This window comes from Homo sapiens, chromosome 9 (genome assembly GCF_000001405.40).
Source record: "Homo sapiens chromosome 9, GRCh38.p14 Primary Assembly".
Lineage (NCBI taxonomy): Eukaryota > Metazoa > Chordata > Mammalia > Primates > Hominidae > Homo > Homo sapiens.
Window position 1 is genome coordinate 40,962,434 of NC_000009.12, and position 26,981 is coordinate 40,989,414.

A 26,981-nucleotide genomic window follows, 5' to 3' on the forward strand; every position below is an offset into this window, starting at 1 on the left:
ATAGGGAAAATGAAATCATTCTGACAATGCCAAATTTTTTAACTAACTCATTGCTAAAAGATTATGTTTCTACATGAAAAATTTTACACATTCTTTCTATGAGATAAACCTGATAACATCTTGAAAACTTAATAGTTATGGAAAAGTAACTACTATGATTTTTTTTAGAGAATGTCGTGTTCTTGGTGTTCTTGAGTGAGCGGTCTCATGTTATTAGAAGGGAAACAGCAGCACCTTGTGGACAAACAAATAAAGTGAATAAATTTTTAGGACCCGGTGCAGTGGTTCAGGCCTGTAATCCCAGCACTTTGGGAGACCTGGGCGGAGGGTAACTTGAGCCCAAGAGTTCAAGACCAGCCTGGGCAACACAGTGACACGCCGATCTTTACCAAAAATTGAAAAATTCTCTGGGCTTCCTGGCTCATACCTCAGGTCCCAGCTACTTGGAAGGCTGAGATGGGAGGATCACTTAAGCCCAGCAGGTCAAGGCTGCAGTGAGTGTGATCATACCACTGCCTTCCAGCTTGGGTGACACAGCAAGACCCTATTTCAAAAAAATTATATTTATGTAGCACTTTCTACAAGGAATACAGTATCATGTTTGTATTTAAATGACATCAGGACCAGCACGGTGGCTTACACCTGTAATCTCAGCTCCTCAGACGGCAGAAGGCAGGAGGATCGCTTGAGGCCAGGAGTTGGAAGACCAGCCTGGACAGCATAATGAAACCCTCATTTCTACAAAAATAATAATAGTAATCAAAAGCTAGACGTGCTGGCACACACCTGCAGACCTAGCTACTGTGGAGGCTGAGTGGAAGGATCACTTTGAGCACAGGAGTTTGATTGTATTGTGTATTATGAGCTACGATCGAGCCACTCCGCTCCAGACAACACGGCAAGACCCAGTCTCTAAACAAAATAAAGGAACATCAGAGCATTGTTTATAGAGATGTATAAATGATCCCAAAATGTCTTCAGGGAGATAAATCATCTAAATATAGCTATATCGACTCTTCCTAAATTCCAAATTTCGGTGGGAAAAATAAATGAGATAGAAGACTTCTTGAAATGTATCAAGACTCAGGAAGACAAAACAAAAACTTTCATTAGGCAGTATCAAGAATGTTCATTAATGCTATTTCTAATTTATGATACGATCATCTAAAGAGGAGATCCCAGCAACAAGAGGCCAAAGGAAAGGGAAAAGAAATGAAAAGAACGACCATACTTTCTACACATCCAACCTCTTCTCTACCACCTCTCAGCAAGACCTCCCACAGCCAATCACTGCTTTCTCTTGCGGACTTAACCTCTACTCTGTGAACACATGAGCCAGAGAACCCTGAGAAGTCCCTGAGTCCCTTCCAGGGGCTCTGCAAGGTCAAAAGTCTTTTCATAAAAATACACAGGTTTTTGTTTACCTTTTCCACTTTTATTCTCTCACAAGTATAATTGGACTTTCCCAGAGGCTACCTGACATGGGATGTCACAAGAAATTAAACATAGAAGCAGAAAGGAGAACCAAGTTTTCTTCTATTAAACCAGACTTTAAAGACATACCTAAAAATATAAAACAACGTCACTGTTCTCACCAACTTTACTGCTTAAAAATGATAATTTTAAATAAAAATGTGATTTATTTGTAAACATATATTATTTTATTTGTTTTAATTTCTCAGTTTTAATGTTTAACATGATAAATATAGATAGATAGAATCCAAATAAATAAATGCTCTTTGGGGTCCTCAATAACTTTTAAAAATGTAAAGTGTTCCTGAAACCAAAAAGTTTGAGGACTGATGCTCTAAAGCTCATACCCTTTGATGTAGCTTCCACCCAGGTCATTTCTTAAATACTTGATCAATCATTTCCCATGTCCCTCACCCTATACTTGTTGCAAAATTCCATTTTCCTACTCCAGCCCTCCCTGTCATGAGAAAGTTCCCAGGTGGTAGACATGATTCACTAAATCTTTCTTAACAAAGCTTTATGATGATAACATGACATATACAAATTGTATAAATTTAAGGTAACTTAATGTTTTGATATTTCTATACTTTTTGAAATGATCACCACAATCAAGCAAATTAGCATATTATCTCTACATATTTACCATTGTGTGTGTTGACAGTAATTAATTTATGATCTAGTCCTTTAGCAGAACACAAGAATATGATACAGTGTTGTTCCATGTTGTACATTATATCTCCAGAAATTATTATAACTTGAACATTGCACAATTTAATTAACATCACCCCGTTTCCCCTCCCTGAGCCCCTGGCAACCACTGTCCTATTCTCTGTTTTTATGAATTTGACTGTTGTAGATTCCTCATGTAAGTGTGATCATGAAGTAGTTGTCTCTGTGCCTTGCATTTTTGCTTGGCGCAATATCTTCCAGCTCCATCCATGTTTTCACAAATAGAAGGATTTCCTTCTTTTTTAAGGTTGTATAATATTTCATTTTATGTATACACGTCACATTTTCTTTACCCATTCATCTGTTCCTCTGCCAAAGGACACTTAGGTTATTTTCATATTTTGGTCATTGTGTGTCATGCTGCAATGAACAGGGGATGACAGACACCTCTCTAAGACTCTTATGTCAATTTCACTGGACATACATCCAGAAGTGAAATTGTTGGATTATGTAGTAGTTCTTTGTTTTTATTTTTGAAACCGGGTCTCACTCTGTCATCCAGGGTAAAGTCCAGTGGCAAGAACATAGCTCACTGCAGCCTTGAACTCCTGGGCTCAAGCGATCCTCCTACCTCAGCCTCCTGAGTAGCTGGGACTACAGGTATACAACACCATGTCTGGTTAATTTTAATTTTTTTTCAGAGATGGGGTCTTGCTATGTTACCCAGGCTGGTCTGGAGCTCCTGGCCTCCTGCCTTGACTTCCCCAAATCCTGGGAATACAGGTGTGAGACACCACACCAGGCCAGTGCTATTTTCAATTTTCTTTGGAGGAACCTCAATACTGTTTTCTGTGTTTTACTAATTTGCATTCCCGTCAATAGTGTATAATGGTTTTCTTTTCTCCACATTCTTACCAACACTTATCTTTTCTCTTTTTGATAATAGCCATTTTAACAGGTGTGACATGATATCTCATTGTGGTTTTGATTTGCATTACTCTGAAGTTTAGAGATGTTGCGAACATTTTCATATACCTGTTAGCCATTTGAGTTTCTTCTTTTGAGATGTATTTATTTAGGTTCTTTGCCTTAAAATAAAATTAGGTTATTCATAATTTTGGAATTGATGTGTATGTGTCCTTCTTACTTTTTGAACTCCTTATAAGAGATATGGTTTAAAACATTTTCCCCATTTCATAGGTTGCGTTATCATTTCATTAGTTGTTTTCTTTGCTGTGCAGAAGCTTTTTAGTTCGATGTAATTCATTTATCTATTTTGCCTTTGTTGCCTGTGCTTTTGGCATCATATCTAAACAAATTATTGCCAAGACCAATATCAAGAATGTTTTCTCTTGTCTTCTTCCAGGAGTTTTATGGTTTCAGTGATTACATTTAAACGTTTAATCCATTTTGAGTTAATTTTTACATAAGGCGTGAGCTAGGGATCCGATTTCATTCTTTTACATGTAGACATCCAGCTTTCCTAACACCATTTGGTCAAGAGCATATCCTCTCCCTATAGTGTCTCCTTGTCACCTTCCAGGGTGATCAATTGCTGCAAATGTGTGGGTTATGCCTAGGTTCTCTATTTTGTTTCACTGGTTTATGTGTCTGTTTTTATGCTAGTACCATAGTGTTTTTTCTTTCTACAGCTTTATAATTTAATTTGAAGTCAGGAAGTGTGATACCTGTAGCTTTGTTCTTGCTCAAAATTGCTTCTGCCACTCAGGGATTTTTGTGATTCTATATGAATTTTAGGATTTTTTTTTTCTATTTCTGTGAGAGATACCATTGGGATTTTGATATGGATTATATTAAATGTGTAGATTGCTTTGAGTAATATGGACACTTTAATAATACAGTACTCTTTCAATCCATGGGTTGTCTTTCAATTTACTTTGGCTTAAATTTCTGTCATCAATCTTTTATAATTTGTAGTGTTTAAGTCTTTCACTTGTTTGGTTAGTTAGTTCCAAAGTAGTTTATTTGATACTGTTTTTTAAATTTCCCTTTCAGACAATTCATTGTTAGTGTTTAGAAATAGCAATGATTTTTGTATGTCGATTGTGTATCCTACAACTTTAGTAAATTTATTATATAGTCAGTCCTTCATATCCATGTGTTCTGCAACCATGAACTCAATCAACTATGAACAAAATTTGTACACATTTTCCATCTGTGGTGGTTTGAATCCACAGATGTGTACCCATGGATACATAGGGCCAACTGTACATGATTTTATGTGAGGGAGTTGATCATCACAGATTTTGTTATCTGAGGGGGTCCTGAAACAAATCCCCAGCAGATATGAAAGACTGACTATATTATTTGTAACCATTTTCTGTGGAGTCTTTACAGTTTTCAATGTATAATAATCATGTTTTCTGTTAACAGAGGTAACTACATCTTTCCTTTCAATTTTGATGCCTTTTATTTCTCTTGCCTGATTGCTCTGGCTAGGATTTCCAGTACTATGTTGAATAGGAGTGATGAGAGTAGACATCCTTGTCTTGTTCCAGATATTAAGAAAAAGCTTTCAGTTTTTCCCCATTGATTATAATATTAGATATAGGTTTTTCATATACAGCCTTTACAGTGTTGAAGTAAGTTTCTTGTATACTTATTTTGTTGAGAGTTTTATCATGAAAGTATAATGAATTTTGTCAAATGTGTTTTCTGCATCCATTGGAATGTTATTTTTATCTTTCATTCTGTTAATGTGGTATATCACATTATTAATTTTTACACATTGAAACATCCTTGTATCACATAGATAAGTTACAATTGGTCATGGTGTATGACCTTTTCAATGTGCTTTTGAATTCAGTTTGCTAGTTAGTATTTTACTGAGAATTTTTGCATCTATATTCGTTAAGGATACTGGTCTGTAATTATTTTTTCTTGTGTTGTCTTCGTCTAGCTTTTAAGTCATGGTAACATCGGCCTCATGAAATGAGTTTGAGAGTATTCTCTCTTCTATTTTTTCTGAAGAGTTTAAGAAGTTTTGGTGTTAGTTCTTCTTTGAATGTTTGGTAGAAGTTGCCCATGAAAGCATCTGCACCTGGGCTTTTCTTTGTTGGGAAATTATTGATTACTGATTAAATCTCTTTGCTTGCTTTTGGTCTGTTCTATTTCTTTTTTGTTCCATTTTGGTAGATTGCATCTTTCTAAGAATTTATCCATTTATTCTAGGTTATCCAATTTATTGGCATATAATCGCTTAATTGTCCTTTATAATCATTTGTATTCCTGTACATTTCCTATAATGTCTCCATTTTCATTTCTGATTATATTTACTTGAGTTTCTCTTTTTTTCTTAGTGTAGCTAAGGGTCTGTTATTTTTGTTTGTATTTCCAAAAATTCAACTCTAACTTTGTTGATTTTTCTATTGTTTTCTATTTTATAGTTATTTTATTTATATTCTCATCTTTATTATTTACTTCATTATGCTAACTTTGGGTTTAGTTAGTTTCTCTTTTTCTAATTGTTTATTTGTAAAGTTAGGTTGTTCGAGTTAGATCTTTCTTATTTTTTAATGTAGGTATTTATCACTGTAACATTTCCCTCTTAGCACTTCTTTTATTGAATCCTGTAAGTTTTGTTGAGTTGTATGTTCATTTTTGTTTGTCTCAAGATATTTTTAAAATTCCCTTTTGATTTCTTCTTTTACCCAATGGTTGTTTAAGCATGTGTTATTTAGTTTCTGCATTTTTGTAAATGTTTCTGTTTTCTTTGTTATTGACTTCTAATTTTATTCCATTGTGGAATGAGAAGATACTTGGCATTATATCAAACTTCTTAAATTTGTAGTATGCCTTGTGACCTAAGATTTGATCTATCTCAGAGAAGATTCTGTGTGCACTTGAGAAGAATGTATATTCTGCTGCTGTTGGATGGAAAGTTGTGTATCTGTCAGTGTTTAATCTACTGTGTTGTTCAAGTCAGCTGTTTCCGCTTTTTTTATTCCCTCCTAGATGTTCTATCCATTATTGAATTTGGGGTACTGAAGTTGGCTACTATTATTTTAGTGTTACTGATTTCTCCCCTTAGCTTTGTTGATATTAACTTTATATATTTAGGTGTTCTAATGTTGGGTGGATATATATTTTCAATCTTCCCATTGGATTGAACTTTTATCATTATATAATGACATTCTTAGTCTCTAGTGACAGTTTTTTATTTCAAGTCTATTTTTTCTGATCTAAATATAGATACCCTTGCTCTTTTTTGTTTACCATTTGCGTACAGTATCTTTTCCCATCCCTTCACTTTGAGCCTCTATGTATCTTTATATCTAAAGTGACTCCCTTATAAATATGTACTGATGAGTATCTTTTATGCATTGTGCCACTCTATGTCTTTTAATTAGATAGTTTAATCCTTTCACATTTAAAGTCATTGTTGATAGGTAAGGAGTAACTTGCGTTTGGTTAATTGTTTTTCATATGTTTTGCAGTTCTTTTTTTTTTCCCTCTCTTGCTGTCTTCTTAGTTTGGTTATTTCTTGTAGCGGTTTGGTTTCATTTATTTTTCTTCACATTCTGTGTAGATCCTATAAGCTTTTAATGGTTGCAAATTTACATCTTCTATAAACAGATGTCTTAATGTTATCAGCTTTTTTGGAATCATTTTCTTTCTGTTTCCTCTTCAGACATATTTGCAAATACTGTTTTTCAAGACACAAGTAAATAGGGCTCTAGTTAAAAATTTAACAATACGAAAAAAAAGATCCTCTGAGTCTTTTGATAAGTTAGAAAATAATGATAGACTGCAGTAGAATGTCATGTATTTCAAGTTCTGTCATCTATGTTACTCTGCAATATATTTTCTGTGTGTATTAGTCAGTTATATATTTATAAGGTAAATCCATAAAGCATACATTCTAGAATGCCCTAACTTAAGTCCTTAAGAGATATGCTCCTCATAGCCTTCTTGGCACTCCTGAAGTGTTAAATATTTCCATTGAAGAAGGTTGTATATGGCTTCTGAGATGAAGTCTAGACAGATTAGGATTATTTTTTGCTCCTTTTGCCCACACAGCACCCACTGTCCCCTCCCTTTGTTATTAGCCATTATCTGATACCCTAGATGAAGCCATCTTCTATCCTTCAGTTTTGGCGTGGTGGCTGATTTCACCCCCAGTTTCAGGAATAAGCACAGGACAGCTACTAACAAGTATGTTGTTCACTCAAGGAAGAAACCCAGCTAAGGGAGAAAGGGGGGTTGAAATCCAGCCTGCATGCTCTTCTCCAAGCCACATGCCCTGATACAGGGCTGCATCTAACTGGAGAAAGGGGAGCCATTTTCTAATACTTGCAAAGGCACTGTGTGGACAGTGGAAACCCTGTATGACCTCGTGACACAGGCCTGGCCAATGAATATAATTCTAATCCTGGCACAGATGAAACTAGAAATGGACATGAAATCCAAGCCTCACACCCAAAGTCAATCTCTAGTCTCTTATTGAAACTATTAGAAGTGTTTCTGTTTTTGCTTTATTCTGGGGCTGTGGAACTAAGGAAATGTAAACTGGAGGAGTGATGATGGCCACATTGCAGCACAAAGGGAAAACTTGTCTGAGAATAAAATCAATGGGGAAGAAAAAAGCAAGGAAGCTGAGAGGAGCCAAGTCCTGAGTCCCTACATTCAGCCATTCTGAAGCTACACCCTGGATTTTTCCATTATACGAGTCCACAAATTAATATTTTTTTTTTGGCTTAGACCAGTTTGAGTTTGAATTCTATTATTTATAACCAAAGGAGTCCTGCCATATTATCTTAGCCGGATTTTCATAAACACGGTATATGTTGATCAACAAACTTCCTAAATGTTTCAAGTTCACTTCAAAGAGTGAGGGGAAAAAAGAAAGAAGTGGAAGAAAATAGTTACTTATCATCCACAGTAGTCAAGGAAGCTTCAGAAGCATCAAGCAAAAGCAGCAGAAGTTAGCTTTGTACTCCCACAAACCCTGCTCTGAAGTACTCCGCCTAGTGGCCCACAGCAGAAGCTGCATTTCTAAAATCTTTAAAAAGACAGAAAAGGAATCGCCACTTACCCTGGGAACCCTAACAGGGGAGCAGGCCACATGGGAATATGTCCCATTGGTTTGAGGTCGATAAGTCCATTTTCAAAGCTTTAGTAATTCCAGAAACAAGAACATATTTATTTTACTTTGATCACACAATGCCTAGTTATATTAAAAGGAGATATTCAATAAATACCTTTTATGGAAATAAAAACAGACAATTTAGGAGAAAATTAACTATCGATGCATTGTTTTCAAAGGTAAAGAAAAAAGAAATTATTCTGAACACACAAAACTATTTTATCAAGTATCATGGTAAATTATCATTATATACTAGGTCACTTAATAAATTTCCAGAGATGATTGGAAAGAGTTTCCACAATAGATTTTGTTTCACCCCAGGAAGAAGTTTCACAAAAAGTTAGTTACTTATCTCCATTGTTACTAGTACCAAACTAATCCTATCATTCTGAGTCAAATTACAAATAACGTCCACACTTTTCTCCAGTGAGATCACAGGAGATGCCTAAGTGGAGTGTGTTTTAATGTGAGGGGATAACTGGTTTATATTTTTCACTGAAAATAACAAATTCTAGACAACTTAAGCAAAATAGGAATTCGATGAAAGGATATTGAATAGTTCACAAAATCACTGAAGATGCTGGAGAAGCAAGGTAAGAACTGAGGGAAACTCAGCACAGCCAAGTTCATTCGATGGAAGCAGATCTTGGGATGCCACCACTAGGATGTTGCCATTTGACACTTGTCACCATGTAGCTGGGCTCTGCTGAACCTAGGCCCTTGCTGCCACATTCCTGGACCTGCATCTCTGCTCAATGTCTCAGAATCATCTCTGATTCTTTCAGGTCTTTTGCATCATTTCATCGGGTTCCAAGTTCTAATAAAGAGACATCAGTTGGCTGGGCCTAGATATGTGCCCACACATGAGTGGCCAAGAAACTGGAAAAAGGATCATGCACTCCTTTCAGCTTTTGTAATGGAAGGTGGGGCCTGTCCTCATATTTCGCTTGGGGTTCAAAAAACTAGGAAGGGTGTTTTGTTGAAATGAAACCCGAAACTATAGCTATCCATTTATAGCACCTTATTTGTACAGGAAGAAACCATGAGACAAAATGTATAAAAGTGCATGGGAGGTATAAACATATGAGGGGGTTTCTGAGGAGAGAAAGATCATACTTGATTGGTGCTGTGGTTTCACTGTGCCTCCTCCAAGATTCAGCGTTGACAATGTGATAGTGTTGATAGAGGTGGAGCCTACAGGAAGTGATTAGGCCATCAGGACTCCTACCTCAGGAATGGGTTTAGGAGCCCTCATGAAAGGGCTCCATGGAGGGAGTTCATCCCTCTTGCCCTCCCGCCTTCCACCATGTGAGGACACAGTGTTCCCTGTCTCTGGAAGATGCAGCATCAAAACACCATCTTGAACGGAGAGAACAGCCCTTACCAGACATCAGACCTGCCAATGCCTTGATCTTGGACTTCCTAGTCTCCAGAACTATGACAGATAAATGTCTGGTTTTCATAAATTGCCTAGTCTGTGTTATTTTGTTGTAAGAGCATAAATTGACTAAGACAATTGGGGATTAGAAAAAGTTTTTTGAAGTGGCATTTGAGAAGGGCTTGATAGATAAGATCTCTACAAATAGAAATAGAGAGATGGTTTGAAATCACCCAGGTGAAAGGAGTAACACAGCCATGTTCAGTCTGAATGCAAAACGGAGATGGTAAAAAGTACATAGGATTCCACCACCAGTGGGAGGACAGAATTGCAATGTGGCAGCAATCTGTAAATATAATATTTATCACTCACTCACATTTATTTAGAGTCTAATGTGTTCTAGGCTCTGAAATTAAGCAAAGAAAATCTAGATATGCATAAGTCCAAGACTTTGCCTTTGTGACAGTCAAAATAATGACCCCATAAAGATGTTCTAGTCACTGGAATCTGTGACCATATTACTTTACATGGGGCAAAAGGGACTTTGGAGATGTGATTAACCCTTGAGTTAGGGGGATTATCCTTGATTATCTTGGGAGCCAATCTAATTGCATGTGTCTATAAAATCAGATAATCTTTCCTAGCTACAGTCAGAAGGTGATATGGCTACAGAACAATGGCCACAGACATCCCACATTACTAGCTTTGAAGATGGAGGGATGGTCCCATGATCCAAGGAATAGGGACAGCATCTAAAAGTTGGAAAAGGAAATGGATTCTCTCTAGAGCCTCCAGAAAGCAATACAGCCCTGACAACACCTTGACTTAAGCCCAGTAAGACCACAGTCAGAGGTTTGCCCTACAGAACTATAGGGTCGTAAGTCTTTGATTTAAGCCACAAAGTTGTGGAAATTTGTTATGGCAGCAATAGAAAATTAATTTTAAGAACTTTATTATTTGGAAGATAGGCAGACCAGAAAATCCAAATTATAATATAATTCGATTAAAACCTGTGGAGATTTGGGCTAGGTGTTTTAGAAAAGAATTGAGTATTAACAGACTAACAGAAGAAATGTTCTAAAATTTACACACTAAGTACATCACATTTTTCTAATGATCACTTTGACAGAGCAACGTTGATCATGTTGATAGATCACGTTGATAGAGCAATCCATGGTTTTAACAAACCAACAGGCTTATATACATATATATAAAATACTATATATATAATATATGGCATAGCCCCATGGGCATGGGTAGCCCTGGGTCAAAGGGCGGCACTGTACTAGCAGCCCACACCCCACCTCACCTGCCTACCCTGAGCTGACTTGTCTGCTAAATTATAAATAAACCTGTCAACCTGTCTGTTTTAACTTAGAAGGGCCTGGATGCAACAAGCCTGAGGGCTGTGACTGGGGGAAGAGAGAGCACAGACGGAGCTCCTCCTCCTTCTTCCACTGCCCACCAACTGAAAACCACCAACTGAAGTATGCTTAGATTCTCAGCCTATACCTTGTTCCCAACAAAACTCATGCAATACTTTGGCCCCCACTACAATCTCTGGAATAAAATATTCTACAGATCTGCTTTTTGAGCTGCAACTTATCTTACTAAATTCCAAGAAGCTTATGTAAGAGAAAACCACCAGATAATACAAGATTTTCAATGTGATCATCATTGCTACTTTTAACTAGAAATTATCCAGTAAATGTATTGTGAACTGCTTTGTGACTATGGTGATTTGTTTAGTCTTTCTGATCCTTGGTTTGATTATCTCAAATATATGAGTATCACAAATTTTATAAAGTTGCTCTAAAAATTAAATGAAAGAAAAATAATCCTCCTTCTCCATATATTGAACACTTACAAAATTATAGGCATTGTGTCCAGGTTTTTATATACTTACCGGATACAAGTCTCCTAACAATGCTCTCTTTTAAATTACAAGCATTTTGCCATGGTATTTACCCATGTACGTTATGGAAGCCTCGTAACAATCACATCTTTTATAGATCGGCAAACTGAGGCTCAGATGAGTTAAAAACACATTCACCATCAAATCATAATGAGGGATGGAACTGGGATTCAAATCCGGTTCTCTCTGATGCCAAAAATGGTGCAATTTAACGAGCACCAAGTTACAGCCAGAACATGGAGGGATCAAAATATGTGGATTCCCTTTTCTGCCCCCTCATGTGGGAATTTCAATAGCTTTCACTGCCTCAGAGAAATCCTAAACTCCCTCCCAGGTTGCCTTGCAATGGCCCCCTTATTCGTGGGGATGATTAGAAATCTGCATTTTTGGACCACAAGCATCTATAAAGAGTTGTGTTGATCAAGAAATAAAATTTTCTAGGCCATAGGTTACTGTGAATTATCTAGCTTCTCTGCAAAAAATAAAGGGGCTATTCCATGTAAAAAAAACACAGGATCCACTGAATCTGTGCAGAAAGACATAGAACTATATTGCAGAAGCATCTTACAGACAGCTGCACCTGAAGACCAGCCGAAACACACAAAGCAAGAGCACCTCCAATGACCAGGTGTGGTGGCTCTTGCCTGTCATCCCAGCAGTGTGTGGCCAGGGGTTTGAGACCAGCTTGGGCAACACAGTGAGACCTTGTCCCTACAAAAAAAAAATCATTTTTTATTATTCGAATCAAGAAGAGTACCTCTAACCCCTTGCCGTTGCTTTAGGGTTGATAGCTCTGGTCTAGAACTCAAGATATGAAACTGTGAGTCCCAGTGTAGCTACTTAAGTTTAAATACAAGAACCGTCAGACATTTCCTCTAAAGCAACGAAATCTGTAGCATCCATTTTGTACTTTGAAAACTTAGTTTTTGGCCAGCCTCTAGGAAGAAGAAGAGGGCCCATAACTGGGCATATGGGTAGGGAGGAGAAAAGAAACCAGCTGGATGCAACAGGGAAAGACCAAGGGATGGAGACGCCAGGCAGTGCCAGTCCTCATGCTTGGGGCCTGGGCCTAGGAAAGGAACTAGGTGAAGAAGGGAGGAGCCCCAGGCTGTGGATGTCTCTGGGGGAACCTTGGTTCAGCAACGGCCAGAGGAGCTCCTGAGGCCAAGCGGTATCTGTCGCCTCCCTACCTTTGGGCGTCTTCTGGTCTTCAATGTGCTGCAAGTCATGGCTCCGGAATCAAATTGGGCTCAAATTGTGCGAGCTCCAACGCAGTGGAGCCTGGCGCTACTCCCACCTCCTCCTCGTGGATCTCAGAGCTGCAGGATGGCTCTGCCCACCGCACCCTAAGCTGGCCCCGCTTGGGGCTGGCATTGGGGGACAGCATGTTCTGGGCATCTCTGCTCCTTTCTGCTGGTGCCTGTGCCTTTGCTGGCCGACGACTCATAGATATCAGAGCCACAGGACGGCCCCGCAGAACCCCTGCGCTGGCCCTGCTGGGGGCTGGCTTTGGTGCACATGCGACCCGTCATCGTGGTCCCCATGGGGCATCTCTGCTCTTCTCGAGGCAGCTTGGGCCTTCGCTTGCCCCTACGTCTGCAGAGCTGAGCACCTGCCGCCTCTCCCCAGGAAAGGCAACCAAATGCCACCAACTTAAGGCACCCACTGAAGGCCACCAACTGAAGGCCGGTTGCCGTGCCAACCTGATCGTGTCCTGCTTAGGAAGAACCAATCAGGCCTTGAGTTCCCTCCACGCGCTGCCCTTCCATTTGTGACGTGGGAGTCCAGGCACTGGCTCACAAAGCCGCGCCCCCCAGCGACCCCGCCCCACCTTTCATTTATTGGTAGCTGGTAGCAAATTTCAGGTTTCCTCACTGTGAATTATGGATATGAATTATGATGCAATTACTATATCCTAATGTACCTCATGCACTATCTGACCACCAAAGTCCCCTCTTCCCCCATGGCCTCTGAGTTTTTTGGAAACTAGAAAGAAGATACATTTCTGCAGGTGCTTTCAGAAAAAAACATTGCCACGATCTAAGGTTACTCTGTGATGTCAAGTCATATTTCTTATGCCATACATATTCATATTTATATTCATAATTCAAAATGCACATATTCAATCAAAATAACAGGACTAAAAAGGAAATTTTCTAAAATTTATACACTAAGTACATTATATTTTTCTAATGATCACTTTGATAGAGCAAACTTAGAATCTATGGTTTCAACAAATGAAGAGGCTTATGCAAGAGAAAACCACCACCTAACACAAGATTTTCAATGTGATCATCATTGCTACTTTTCACTAGCAATTATCCAGTCAATATATTGTGAACTGCTTTGTTACTATGGTGATTTATTTAAACTTAGTGATCCTTTGATTATCTCAAAAATATGAATAATACCAATTTTATAAACTTGTTCTAAAAATTAAATGAGAGAAAAATAATCCTCCTTCTCTATATATTGAAAACCTACAAAATTAGTAACATTGTGTCCAGATATTACACACTTACCTTATTGAAGCCTCATCACAACCCCGTCTTTTAAATTACAGGGGTTATTCCCAGATTTTTAAACACTTACCTTATGCAAGTCTCATAACAATCCCATCTTTTATAGATGAGCAAACTGAGGCTCAGATGAGTTAAAAACACATTCACCATCAAATCATAATGAGTGATGGAACTGGGATTCAAATCCAGTTCTCTCTGACACCAAAGGTGGTGCAATATAATGAAGACCAAGTTATATCCAGCACATGGAGGGATCAAAACATGTGGATTCCCTTTCTCTACCCTCTTACATGTGAATCTCAATGACTTTCACTGCTTCAGAACAATCCTAAACTCCCTCCCAGGTTGCCTTGCAGAGGATCCCTTCATTTTGGCGACGATTAGGAATCCGCATTTTTGGACCACAGGCATCTATAAAGAGTTGTGTTGATCAAGAAACAAAATTGTCTAGGCCATAAGTTACTGTGAATTGTCTAGCTTCTCTGCAAAAAATAAATGGGCTATTCTCTTTATTTTTTACTATTCCACTATTGACAATAGCCTAGAATCAACCTAAGTGTCCAAGAAGTCTTGGTTTAACCCTGAGGATTACTAGTGTTTTCACTGTGGTCATTGTGGTAGATTATATTATCATTCTCCCATTATCTGGTCTTCCTACTGCAGTAACCCTATCTCCTAGAAGATTATACATTTCTGTCCTATTGAAGGAAGGGTCAGATTTAGATATGTGACCTGTTTGGCCACTGAAATGCAGGTAGAAGTGGCATGTGTAACTTGTAAGCAGAAAATTTCCTTTTTCAAGGATCTGGGAGCCATCCCTTTCAAATGTAATCCTCCAGAAAGATAATACCTTATTTCCCAGTCTCCATGAGAGAGTAAGAGCCTAATCTTGCTCCAAGTTGTAAAAATTACCTTATATCATAAAGATAAAAGAAAGTTTATTTTTCCTTTGAGAAAAGACAGTTAGCAAAGACAGGTGGCCTATGATCGCCCCCTTACCCTCACTTTCAAAAACTCCACGGCCCTTTGTATCAGGGGAGCTGAGTTCAGACTAGGTCTGGCCTCTCTCCTGTATTGCAATAGCCTGAATAATATCTTCCTTACTTATTTAACTTTTTCCAGTGCAATTTTTTCTTTGACTCTTTCCTCCCTCTCTAAAACTTACATTGAAATTTTAGTAGGATTCAAGGCAGCCAATCTCGACCCTTGAATATGTAAAAGAACCCTTTAAGATTAAAAAACCCATGTTATCTTCCATAAATTATTTCTCCAGACTATTGGCTTATTAAAAGTTTCTAGTTCTTATTTTTGCGTTGAAAAGGAGAATGATGATTTTTAAATAAGTTCCTACTCACTTTTAATTTCTACTATCACAGTTTTATTGCTTTTCATGGCAATAGATTCCTCTGGTTCTACAGGAAGGCCAGAACAAGGAAGTGCAGAAACATCTCAATATATCTCAAAAAGTTATTTAACATGGACAGTGTCATTTAGTATCTTTAACATCTTTATCAAACGGATGCTATTATTATCCCCCTTTTACAGGATATTAAAACTTACATACTGTAAATAACCAGCTGAAAGTCATATAGCATGGAAAATACAATAAGCATACAGAGAAGCAATGGCATTAGAAGTGGAGGAGGGTGAAGGATTAAAAGGCTAAACTTAGTTTGGTTAAGAAAAAAGAAAACTAGGAGGTGGCAAACTCTTGTTGGAAAGGGGAAGGATTTGGGCAGAGCAAGGTAGTGGAGTCGATCTCTCCAGTAATCATACCCCTATGGACACATCTATATGAACAACTATCCACATATGAAATTACCTTTACAAGAGCTAATGAACCCTGAATACATGAGTGAGTCTATGAAGCCCCTTTGGACTGCAAAGAGGAGTAAAACCATGCTTGGACAGTAAGGGAAACAGTACTCTGTGACTGTGATACTTTTCCCCCTGGACATAAAGGTATTATATGCACAAAGTCCTCCTGAACTCACAGTTCTTACACTGAATAAAGTGAGCAGAAGTTGAATATTTTTTCCACCATACTGAGTGCCTTCACAGTAGACTCACTCCTGCATCAGCCCACAAGCAGCACCATGAGTGTCAACAGAGCTGAACCACCAGAGGCATGCTAGGGACATAGAGAAGGGATTGGGTTAGCGATACTTACTATATGAAACTTAGCAGTGGCTAGCCATTCCTACCAGAGGAAACATTATACCAGACAGGTTGTTTATGGGCACCACATTGTGGGAAACATGATACACAGACTGTCCAGATTTGATGGCCTGACTTGTTCTCCCCCAACAGACAGCAGCCTTTCTGTGGATCACCCATGGGCCCATCCATTTACATTGTATCAGTGGTGAAGCCCTATTGCAAGACTTATGTCTAACCTTTGCTTTGGGCACCTCCTAATGCTAAAATGGAATATAATGGAAATCCACATAGAATTTCTAAACAAGCCCACTGAGAAACAGTCAAAAACAAACCCAGACTGAGAAGATTGAAATAAATATTTAATTCATCAATGTGTAGAAAGAGATGTACATCTACAAAAAATAAGAATAGCCTAGGAAAAACCGCCTCACCAAATGGAGAAAACAAGGTGTCAGCAACTGAACCTAAAGACATGCAAATGAATGATGGGGCAGACAAAAAAATTCAAATAGCTGTTTTTTTTTAAAAAAAAATCTGTGCACTTCAACAAAGTACAGAGAAACAATATGGAAATTTATGAGAAATTCAACAAAGAATTTAAAATAATGGGAAAAAATTATGCCAAATCATACCAAAGAAATGTTAAAGAACAGTCTTCAAACTGAAAGAAGAGGGCACTAATTTGTAATACAAAAAATTGGAAGGTATAAATCTGCAGGTAAAAATAAATATTCAGACAAATTCAGGATGCTCTAATATAGTAATAATTGAATGTAAACCACTTACATGTTTTTAGTAAGAAGGTTAAAATACAAAACAAAAATAATAACAACTACAATAATTTGTTAAGAGATAAGTGATATAAAAGATGTAAATTAAGACATCAAAAATGCAAAATGTGGGGGAGTGATTGAGTTAAAGAGCAGAGTGATTGCTTTTCCCCATTTCTTATTATCAAAATTAAGTTGTTATCCATTCAAAATTACCTATTGAAACTATAAAATATTCTTCGCATGCCTCATAGTAACCAAAAGGCAAACATTTTTATTAGATACACTAAAAATAAAAGAACAAGAAACAAAAACACACAGAGAAAATCACTTAACTACAAAGGAAGACAGCAAAGGGACAAAAAGGTACAAAAATTCTAAAAGACAACAAGAAAACAGTATATGGCAGTACAAGTCCTTATCTATCAATAATTACCTTGAATGTACATAGATTAAATTATCCAGTAAGAAGACAGAGAATGGGTAAATGGATTAAAAACAAGACCTAACTATATTCTTTCTACAAGAGACTCCCATCACCTGTAAATACACACATAAATTGAAAGTGATCAGATGGAAAAATATATTTTATGACAATGGAAATCAAAAGAATGCAGAAGTAGTTATATTTATATCAAATAAAATAGACTTCAAGTATAAAAAACTGTAAACACAGACAAACAAGGCCATTATGTAATAATAAAGGGGTCAGTACAACAAGAGAATACAATAATTGTAAATATATAATGCCCTCAACATTGGAGAACCTAAATATATAAAGCAAACATTAATAGATCTAAAAGGAGAGACCAAAAACTGTACAATAATAGTAAGAAACCTCGACATCCCATTTTCAGCAATGAACAGATCATTGAGAGAGAATGTCAACAAAGAAACATTTAAACTGCACTCTAGATCAAAAGAATTTAACAGTTATTTACATAACATTTCATCCAACAATTGCATAATTCACTGTCTTTTCACCTGCATATGGAATATTGTCCATGATAGATATGTTAGAGCACAAAACAAGTCTTAGCTAATCAAAAAATCAAATCATATCACTTGTTTTTTTGACCATATGGAATAAAGCTAGACATAAACAACAGGAGGAACTTCAGAAATTGTGCAAATACATACAAATTAAACAACATATCCCTAAACAACCAAAGGGTCAATGAAAAAAATTTAATTTTAAAACGTCTTAAGACAAATAAAAATGAAATCAGAACATATGAAAACTTATGAAATACAGCAAAACAGTTCTTAGAGGGAAGTTTATAGCAATACATTTCAACATCAATAAAGAAGAAAGATAATGAATAAAGCATCTAACAATGTATTTCAAGGAACTATAAAATCAAGAACAAACTAAGACCCAAATTAGCTAAAGAATATAAAGATCAGAGCACAAATATACAAAATGAAGACAAAAAATACAAATGAGTCATTAAATGAAGGAATCTTTTTTGAAAAGGTAAAATTGACAAATGTTTTGTCAGACTAAGAAAAAAAGAGAAAATTCACATAAAATCAGAGATGAAAAAGGATATACTATGATAGACTCTAGAGAAATATAAGGAATCGTGAGTAAGTACTACAAACAATTATATGTCAATAAATTGAAAAACTTAGAAGAAATACGTATGCTCTGGACACATATAACCCATCAAAATTGAAGAAAGAAGAAGTAGAAAATGTGAACACACCAATGAAAATTATTAGATTGAAGGAGTGATTTAGGCTCTCAGTCAAGAAAAATCCAAAAGACTTTACACAGTAGCTCACATCTGTAATCTCACAGTTTAGTAGCCCAAGGCAGGAGAATCACTAGAGGCCAGGAGTTCAAGATTAGCCTGGGCAACACAATGAGACTGCATCTCTAAAAATAAAAATAAAAATTCCCCAGGTATAGTGGTATGTACTTTTACTCAGGAGGCTGAGGCAGGAGGATCACTTAAGACCAGGAGTTTGAGGCTGCAGTCAGCTATGACTGCACCACTGTATGCCAGCCTCAGTGATAGAGTGAGACCCTGTCTCTAAAAAAATAGAGGAAGAAAGAAAAGTTCATGACTTGGTGGTTTTTGCTGACAAATTCTACAAAACATTTTAAAAACTTATACAAATTATTTACAAACTATTTCAAAAAAATGAAAAGGAGGGAACTCTTTGAAAACTCCAGGCCAATATCATTGATAAACATAGATGCAAACATTCAAAACCAGCAGTTCTAGCAATGATAATTCAAAAGCACATTAAAAAGATTATTCACCATAATCAAGTGGTATTTACCCGGGGAGGTAAGGATAGTCTAATACATGTAAATCAATAAAATGTGATACATCGCATTAAACAAAGAAGGATAAAAAGCATATAATCATTTCAATAGATGCAGAAAAAGCATCTGACAAAATTAGACATCCTTTTATGATCAAACCTTTTAACAAATTAGTTATAAAACAACATAATAAAATAAAGACCATATGTGATAACCCACAGGCAACATTATACTGAATGGTGAAAACTTGAAAGCTTTGCCTCTAGGATCTGGAACAAGACAAGGATGTTCACTTTAATCACTTTTTTCAACATAGTACTGGAAGTCCTAGTCATAACAATTATGTAAGAGAAAGAAATAAAAGGCATCCAAATTGGAAAAAAAAGTCAAATTGTCCCTCTTTGCAGACGACATGATCATATATGTAAAAAACCCTAAATACACCACTGAGAATCAGAAATAGTAAATGAATACAATAAGGTTTCAGGATACAAAAGCTACATAAAAATTCAGTAACATCTCTACAACAATAGCAGACTATCTGAAAAAGGAATCAAGAAAATAATCCCATTTAAAATAGCTATAAAAAACCAAAATACCTATAAGTAAATTAAGCCACAGAAAGATGAAAATTATTAAACATTGATAAAAGCAATTTAAAAAATTAAAATAAATAGAAAGATATCCCATGTTCATGGACTAGAAGAATTAATATTGTTGAAATGACCATACTACTCAAATCAATCTATAAATCCAATATAATCTCTATCAAATTTCCAACTTCATTCTTCACAGATATTAAAAAATATCTTAAAATCCATGTGAAACTACAAAACACCCCAAATAGCCAAATAAATCTTAAGCAAAAAGAGCAATGCTAGAGGTATTACACTATCTAATTTCAAAATATATTACAAAGCTATCCTAACTAAAACAGCATGGTATTGGCATAAAAACAGGCATGTAGACCAGTGGAACAAAAATAGAGAGCTCAGGCATAAATGCACATATTTACATGAAACTTATTTTAGACAAAGGTGCAAACATTCAATTGGGAAAAGACAGTCTTTTCAACAAATGGTGCTGGGAAAAGTGCATATCCACATACAAAAGAATGAAAGTAGACCCCTATATCTCATCATATAAAAAAATCAACTCAAAATAAATTAAATATTTAAATGTAAGACCCCAAACTATGAAACTAGTAGAAGAAAACATAGGTGAAATGTTATATGTCATTGGTCTGGGCAAGGACTTTTTAGAAAAGACATCAAAAGACATGCACAACAAAAGCAAAAATAAACAAATGGGATAACACCAAATAAAAACTTCTGCACTGCATAGGAAACAATCATGAGAGTGAAGAGACAACCTACAAAATGGGAGAAAATATCTGCAATCTATTCACTTCATAAGGGGTTAATACCCCAAATTTATAGAAAACTCAAACAACTCAATAGCAAAAATACAAATAATTGGATTAGAAAATAGTCAAGATAGCTGAATAGACATTTCTCCAAATAAGACAAAAAAATCACCAACAGGTATATGAAAAAATGCTCACCATCACTAATAATCAGAGAAATGCAAGCCAAATCCACAGTGAGATATCATCTCACCCTGCTTAGAATGCTTGTTATGAAAAAGTCAAAAAATAACAAATGCTGGCAAGGATGTGAAGAAAGGGGAATGTTCATACACTGTTGGTGGAAATGTAAATTAGAGCAATTGTTATGGAATACAATATAACTTCCAAAAACATTAAAAATAGACTTATCACATAATCCAGCAATCCCACTACTGGGTATATATTCAAAGAATATTAAATCAGTATGTCAAAGAGATTTCTGGACTCTCATGTTTATTACAGCACTATTCACAATAGCCTAGAATCAACCTAAGTGTCCATCAATGAATGAATGGAGAAAGAAAATGTGGCATATATGCTGTATTTGGTCATTCTTGCATTGCAAGAATAAAGAAATACCTGAGATTGGATAATTTATAAGAAGAGAGACATAATTGGCTCCTGGTTCCATGGGCTGTACAGGGAGCATAATGCCAACATCTGCTTGACTAGTCAGGAAGCTTGGGAACTCGTTCACTATCATGAGGATAGCACCAAGCCATGAGGGATCCACCTCCATGACCCAAACACCCCCTACCAGGCCCCATCTCTAACAGTGGGGATTACAATATAACATGAGATATGGGTCAGGACAAATATCCAAACTATATCATATGCACATTTGGCCATAATAAAGGGTAAAATCGTGTCACTTGTGACAACATGAATGAGCATAGACGACATTGTGGTAAGTGAAATAAGCTAACCACGGTAAGACAAATATCACATGATCTCATTTATATGTGAAATCTAAAAACACTGATCTAATAAAGAGTAGAAGAGTGGTTACCAGAAACACTGATCTAATATAGAAGAGTGGTTGCCAGACTGGGAAAGATAGGGAGGAGAGGTTTTAACAATGCGTCATGTATTAAAATACCACATTGTACCCCATCAACATGTGAAATTATCATGTATCTACTTAATAAAAGCAAAGAAAAAAGAAAATGGAAGAGTCAAGATACTGAGGCACTGGAAGAGATAGAAGAGAAGGTGAATTGACAGTAAGGAAGAGTCTGAAAGAGCAGGTCACAGAGTGGAACATTAAAGTTTATAACATTAGAAATCAATTTTTAAGTGATTGAAAAGTTAAGTTTATAGCCATGAAAGTGAGTAGCTCAATTGAAGTGAAAGTAAAAGTCAATGAAAGATTAAATTAGAAAATATATTGCTTGGCATTTAGTAGTTACTTCAGAAATATTAATAAATCTTAAGAAAATTAAGAACACCAAAGCATTCATAGTGGGCCATTATCATAATACGAATTTATGTGGTAATATTTTATTCTTTCCAGTGAAGGGAGTAATTCAGTCTTGATTACAGGTTAGAAAATGATTTCTCCAGGTGTGACCCACTGACCACATTCATTGTATTTGAATTGCTTGAGCAATTTGTTTCAGGAGAAAATGGAAAGATTTTAAGATGGACCAACGAAATTACCACTGAGTGTCTTTAATGGAAATCTCAGCCTTGTCTAGAATAACCTGAGTTATCTGTTTCTATGGGGTCTCTGTGCCTTTTGTTTTCTTTGTTATTTGCAATTCTGTTAGTTGTAGATTACTGATAGTAATGCAAATATTCATGTTTATAGACAGGCAAATGATTGATTTTGGTGGAAGTATAATTAATTTTCCTTTTCCCACCTTCCATCAAGAATTCAGTTTTGAACCTATCAAGCAAATTTATTTCAGTGTTCCTTAGTGCCTAGATATGTGTGGCTCTTTTAATTTTCCATAAAACTCAGTATAACATCTTACTGGCTCCCTCATTAAACAAACGAGTTAAACAAAAATCTTAGACAAGTGTTCATTTTATATTTGTAAGTTATAATTTACCCTATTTTAAGCAATTTTCCTTTATCATTCCTAAAAATACAGATTCCTATGCCCCATGCTAGACCTATTGAATCAAAATCTCAGGCCTAAGGCACAAGAATTTACATTGTTAGTAAGCTTTTCAAGTGATTTTTAGGCATACTAAATTGTATTAACCATTACCATTCTAATTATTTAAACTTAAATTATTGTATTTATAATTCCATCTTCATCAAAGTAAACTTTTGGTTAGCAAAAACGGTAGAAACCCCCTTATTCAATCAGATTGGGACCAGTAATAAACAGATTAATCAGAAATTTAAGTTAGCTGGAGGAATCATAAGAAGTATTAGATGTAAGTCCTTAAAACTTAACTTTAATTTAAAAGACATGTGTAAATAAATTTGCCAGAATTTTGATGACAAGGTCAAACCCTTGCACGGATTCGGAGTGGAGTTTCTTGTGGAAACTATGCCAATGATATGTTGTCATTGATTTCTTGTTCACTTTCTGTGAAGACAACTGGGGTAAAGCAATCTGAAATCCTAGATTACACAATTTTTCCCATTTGTTTCTAGTTGTCTTGCCAACAGTTAAGCTGACAGCAACTGTTGAGTTTCTCATTTTTCCAACATATTTAGTTTATTTCTCAGAGAAACAACAATACTACTCTTGTTATACTCATTTTCTCAGTTTACGTAATATTTATTTATTTATTTATTTATTTTGAGACGGAGTCTCGCTCTGTCACCCAGGCTGGAGTGCAGTAGTGCGATGTCTGCTCACTGCAAGCTCCGCCTCCCGGGTTCTTGCCATTCTCCTGCCTCAGCCTCCCCAGTAGCTGGGAGTACAGGCACCCGCCACCACGCACAGCTATTTTTTTTGTATTTTCAGTAGAGACGGGGTTTCACCGAGTTAGCCAGGATGGTTTCGATCTCCTGACCTAGTGATCCGCCCATCTCAGCCTCTCAACATCATATTTAATTAAATTGCATAACTACAAGAACAAGAACAAATGGCGTAAACATATTTAGGAATGAACACAGCTTCCTCTTAGAAACTGTACAGTTTCTGTGATGGAAGGAGAAATGTACAGGCATTAAAAGTAGCTCAAAGGCTTTCCATTTGCAGTGGACATCAGTCAATAAGTTGTACAGGGGTACAAGAAAGTGCTGATTGTAAATCAGTTAAGTGGAGGTCAGTTAAGGCAGCATCCACTGTATCTTAATTTGTAAAGTGAATGTTCTAAAACTGGGTTCACTTTTGCTATAAAGGACCAGATGAAAAATATTTTAGGCTTTGCAAACCATACGGTCTCTATAGCAACCATTCAACTCTACCATTGTAGCAGGAAAGCCCCATAGATCCATGGATGTGCTCCAATAAAACTTTATTAAAACAGGCAGCTGGCCTGAGGGCCATGTATATATCTTGCTGTTTTCATACAATTTTCTAAGTTAGTAGTTCGCTGCCTTTCTAATAATCAAGGATTACTTTTAATCCCCTCCTCTGATTTTATGTTTCAAAAGCCTTAAGAAAAACCCACAAAATATATTTATTTTGTAATTTTGGGGGGGTTCTTATTTTACTAATAAGTAATCAATGATATATAAAGGCTACCCATTAGGTCAGTATGAAATAATCAACATTATTAACTCTAATGACTTAGTACTGGATAGAAATAAAAAGTATTCAACTATATACATATAACTTAAAACCTGTATAGATTTTTCTGGTGTAAATATATAACTTTTTGAGATTTTTCAAGTATTAAGTACAATTTTTAGGAATCCTCACACCTGGCTCCCTATGATGACATTCAAGAATTCCTTAGGATTCTGGGAATCTTAGAATGAAAGTCACTGCTCTGTAGGAATGAATGAATGAATGAATAAGAAAGGGAAGGAAGAAGAAAGAGCAGGTCTACTAAATGTAAATTAATCATCAAGGAATGTTTATTTATTAATAAATTTGTCAACTTTAGGTTGCCAAATCTAACAAGAGACCAACATGGCATTCATGGTGATCATACCTCTAGTCAAATTTTATTTTAGTTCATTGGCTATACTATTAATATCCTGTAATACTCAAAAATTTTGTCTTAATTCTATGAATAATTCACTTATTAATCACCCTATACACTACTTAATGAATGGAATGGTGCTTGGAATAAAGATAATTATAGGGCTAAAAGGGTTTTCTCTAGAGGCAGGTTATAGGATTTTTTTGTCTGACTGCAATAAAACAAAATTAATCAATATTTTCTGCAGCCAATGGCTTTTGACTTAGTCGTCTATTAATATCTATCAATCACTATAACCTCAGTCCTATTTCCTCCATTCTTCTTTTTGCTATCATAAAAACTGGTCCATTTTTTTCCTGTTAGATCTATATGTTTCACCTCTTTTCTTTTCATCCAAACAACTGGTCATCAACTTAGTACAGATAATGCAATTGATCCAAACCCTATAGAACTCACTGTTTCAATTTACATAACTTACATAACTGTCAAGCTGAAATCACTCTCAAATTTTTTAATTCAAAATTTTAATTTCATTTAATCATATTTATTTATTAATTAATTAATTTATTTTGAAAATAATTTTAACTTGTATTTTACATTCAGGGGTACATGTGCCAGTTTGTTACATGGGTATATCTCATATTGCTGAGTTTTGGGGTATGAATGATCCCATCATCCAGATGCTGATTTGGTATGGTTTGACTCTGTGTCCCCATAAAAATCTCATGTTGAATTGTAATTCCCAAAGTAGGGGGAATGACCTGGTGGGAGGTGATTAGCTCATGAGGGCAGATTTCCCCCTTGCTGTTCTTAGGTGGTAAGTGAGTTCTCATGAGATCTGATGGTTTAAACATATGGCACATCCCCCCTGGCTCACTTGCTCTCCTGCCACCATGGTAGAACGTGCCTTGCTTCCCCCTTCACCTTCTGCCATGATTATAAGTTTCCTGAAGCCTCCCAGCCATGTTTCCTGTACAGCCTGTGGAACTGTGAGTCAGTTAAACCTCTTTTCTTTATAAATTACCCAGCCTCAGGTAGTTCTATATAGCAGTGTGAGAACAGATTAATACATGAGCATAGTACCCAATAGTTTGTCAAACCTTGCCTTCCTCCTTCTCCCCTCTAGTAGTCCCGGTGTTTATTCTTTCCATCTTTATGTCCATGAGTACCCAGTGTTTAGCTCCCACTTATAGGTGAGATCACGTGGTATTTCATTTTGTATTCCTGCATTAATTTACTTAGGATAATGGCCTTCAGCTGCATCCAAGTTGCTTCAAAGGACATGATTTTGTTAATTTTTATGGCTGCATAGTATTCCATGGTGTGTGAAATGGTTTGGAAGGTGGCCCCTATAAATCTCATGGTGAAATGTAATCCTCAGTGTTGGAGGTGAGGCCTGGTAGGAGGTGTTTGGGTCATGGGGGTGGATCTCTCATGGCCTGATGCCGTCCTTGTGATAGTGAATTCTTTCAAGATCTGGTTGTGTAAGGGTGTGTGGTACTTACCCCTACTCCCATTCTCTCTTGCTCCTGCTCTGGCCATGTGAAGTACCTACTCCCTCTTGGCCTTCCATCATGAGTAAAAGCTCCCTGGAGACTCCACAGGCGCCAGGCAGATGCCGTCACCATGCTTCCCGTACAGCCTGCAGAGCTATGAGCCAATTAAATCTCTTTTCCTTACAAATTACCCAGTCTCAGGTATTTCTTCATAGCAATGCAAGAATGGCCTAATAATACTGTGTGGATGTACCACATTTTATTGATCCAATCCACTGTTGATGGGCACCTAGGCTGACTCCATGTCTTTGCTATTGTGAATAGTGTTGCGATGAACATGCAAGTGCATATCTCTTTTTGGTAGAATAACTGACTTTCTTTGGGTCATATACCAGTAATGGAGTTGTTGGCTTGAAAGGAATTTCTATTTTAAATTCTCTGAGAAATTTCCAAACTGCTTTCAACAGTGGTTGAACTAATTTACATTCGCACCAATTATGTGTAAATGTTCCCTTTTCTCCACAGCCTCCCAAGATCTGCTGTTTTTCGATTTTTTAATAGTAGCTATTCTGACTGGTGTAGGATGGTATCTCGTTTTGGTTTTGATTTGCATTTCTCTGATGATTAGTGATGTTAAGCCTAATCTTTGCCACCAGAAAACTGGGAAAATACAGTGTCGCTTGTCAAAATAAATTGTTTTACTTTGCTTTAAAAATAATCAATTGAGTAGTATATTTCTTCCAGCAAAAT

At 36.5% G+C, this 26,981-nt stretch overlaps 1 long non-coding RNA gene across 1 annotated transcript in view, besides 2 other annotated features; it reads right to left on the reverse strand.

The window, feature by feature from the left end:
* The window catches only part of LOC107986997 (uncharacterized), a 46,412-nt gene that overhangs the window by 17,014 nt on the left and 2,417 nt on the right, over positions 1-26,981 (reverse strand). The window lies entirely within an intron of this gene.
* Positions 12,641-13,142: an enhancer, noted in NCBI's record as "H3K4me1 hESC enhancer chr9:69048303-69048804 (GRCh37/hg19 assembly coordinates)". NCBI's record gives its function as "activates a minimal SCP1, AML or CMV promoter by ChIP-STARR-seq in primed H9 embryonic stem cells {active_cell/tissue: H9 hESC(primed)}" and the evidence as "EXISTENCE:reporter gene assay evidence [ECO:0000049][PMID:30033119]".
* Positions 15,852-16,520: an enhancer, noted in NCBI's record as "OCT4-NANOG hESC enhancer chr9:68712489-68713157 (GRCh37/hg19 assembly coordinates)". NCBI's record gives its function as "activates a minimal SCP1, AML or CMV promoter by ChIP-STARR-seq in naive H9 embryonic stem cells {active_cell/tissue: H9 hESC(naive)}" and the evidence as "EXISTENCE:reporter gene assay evidence [ECO:0000049][PMID:30033119]".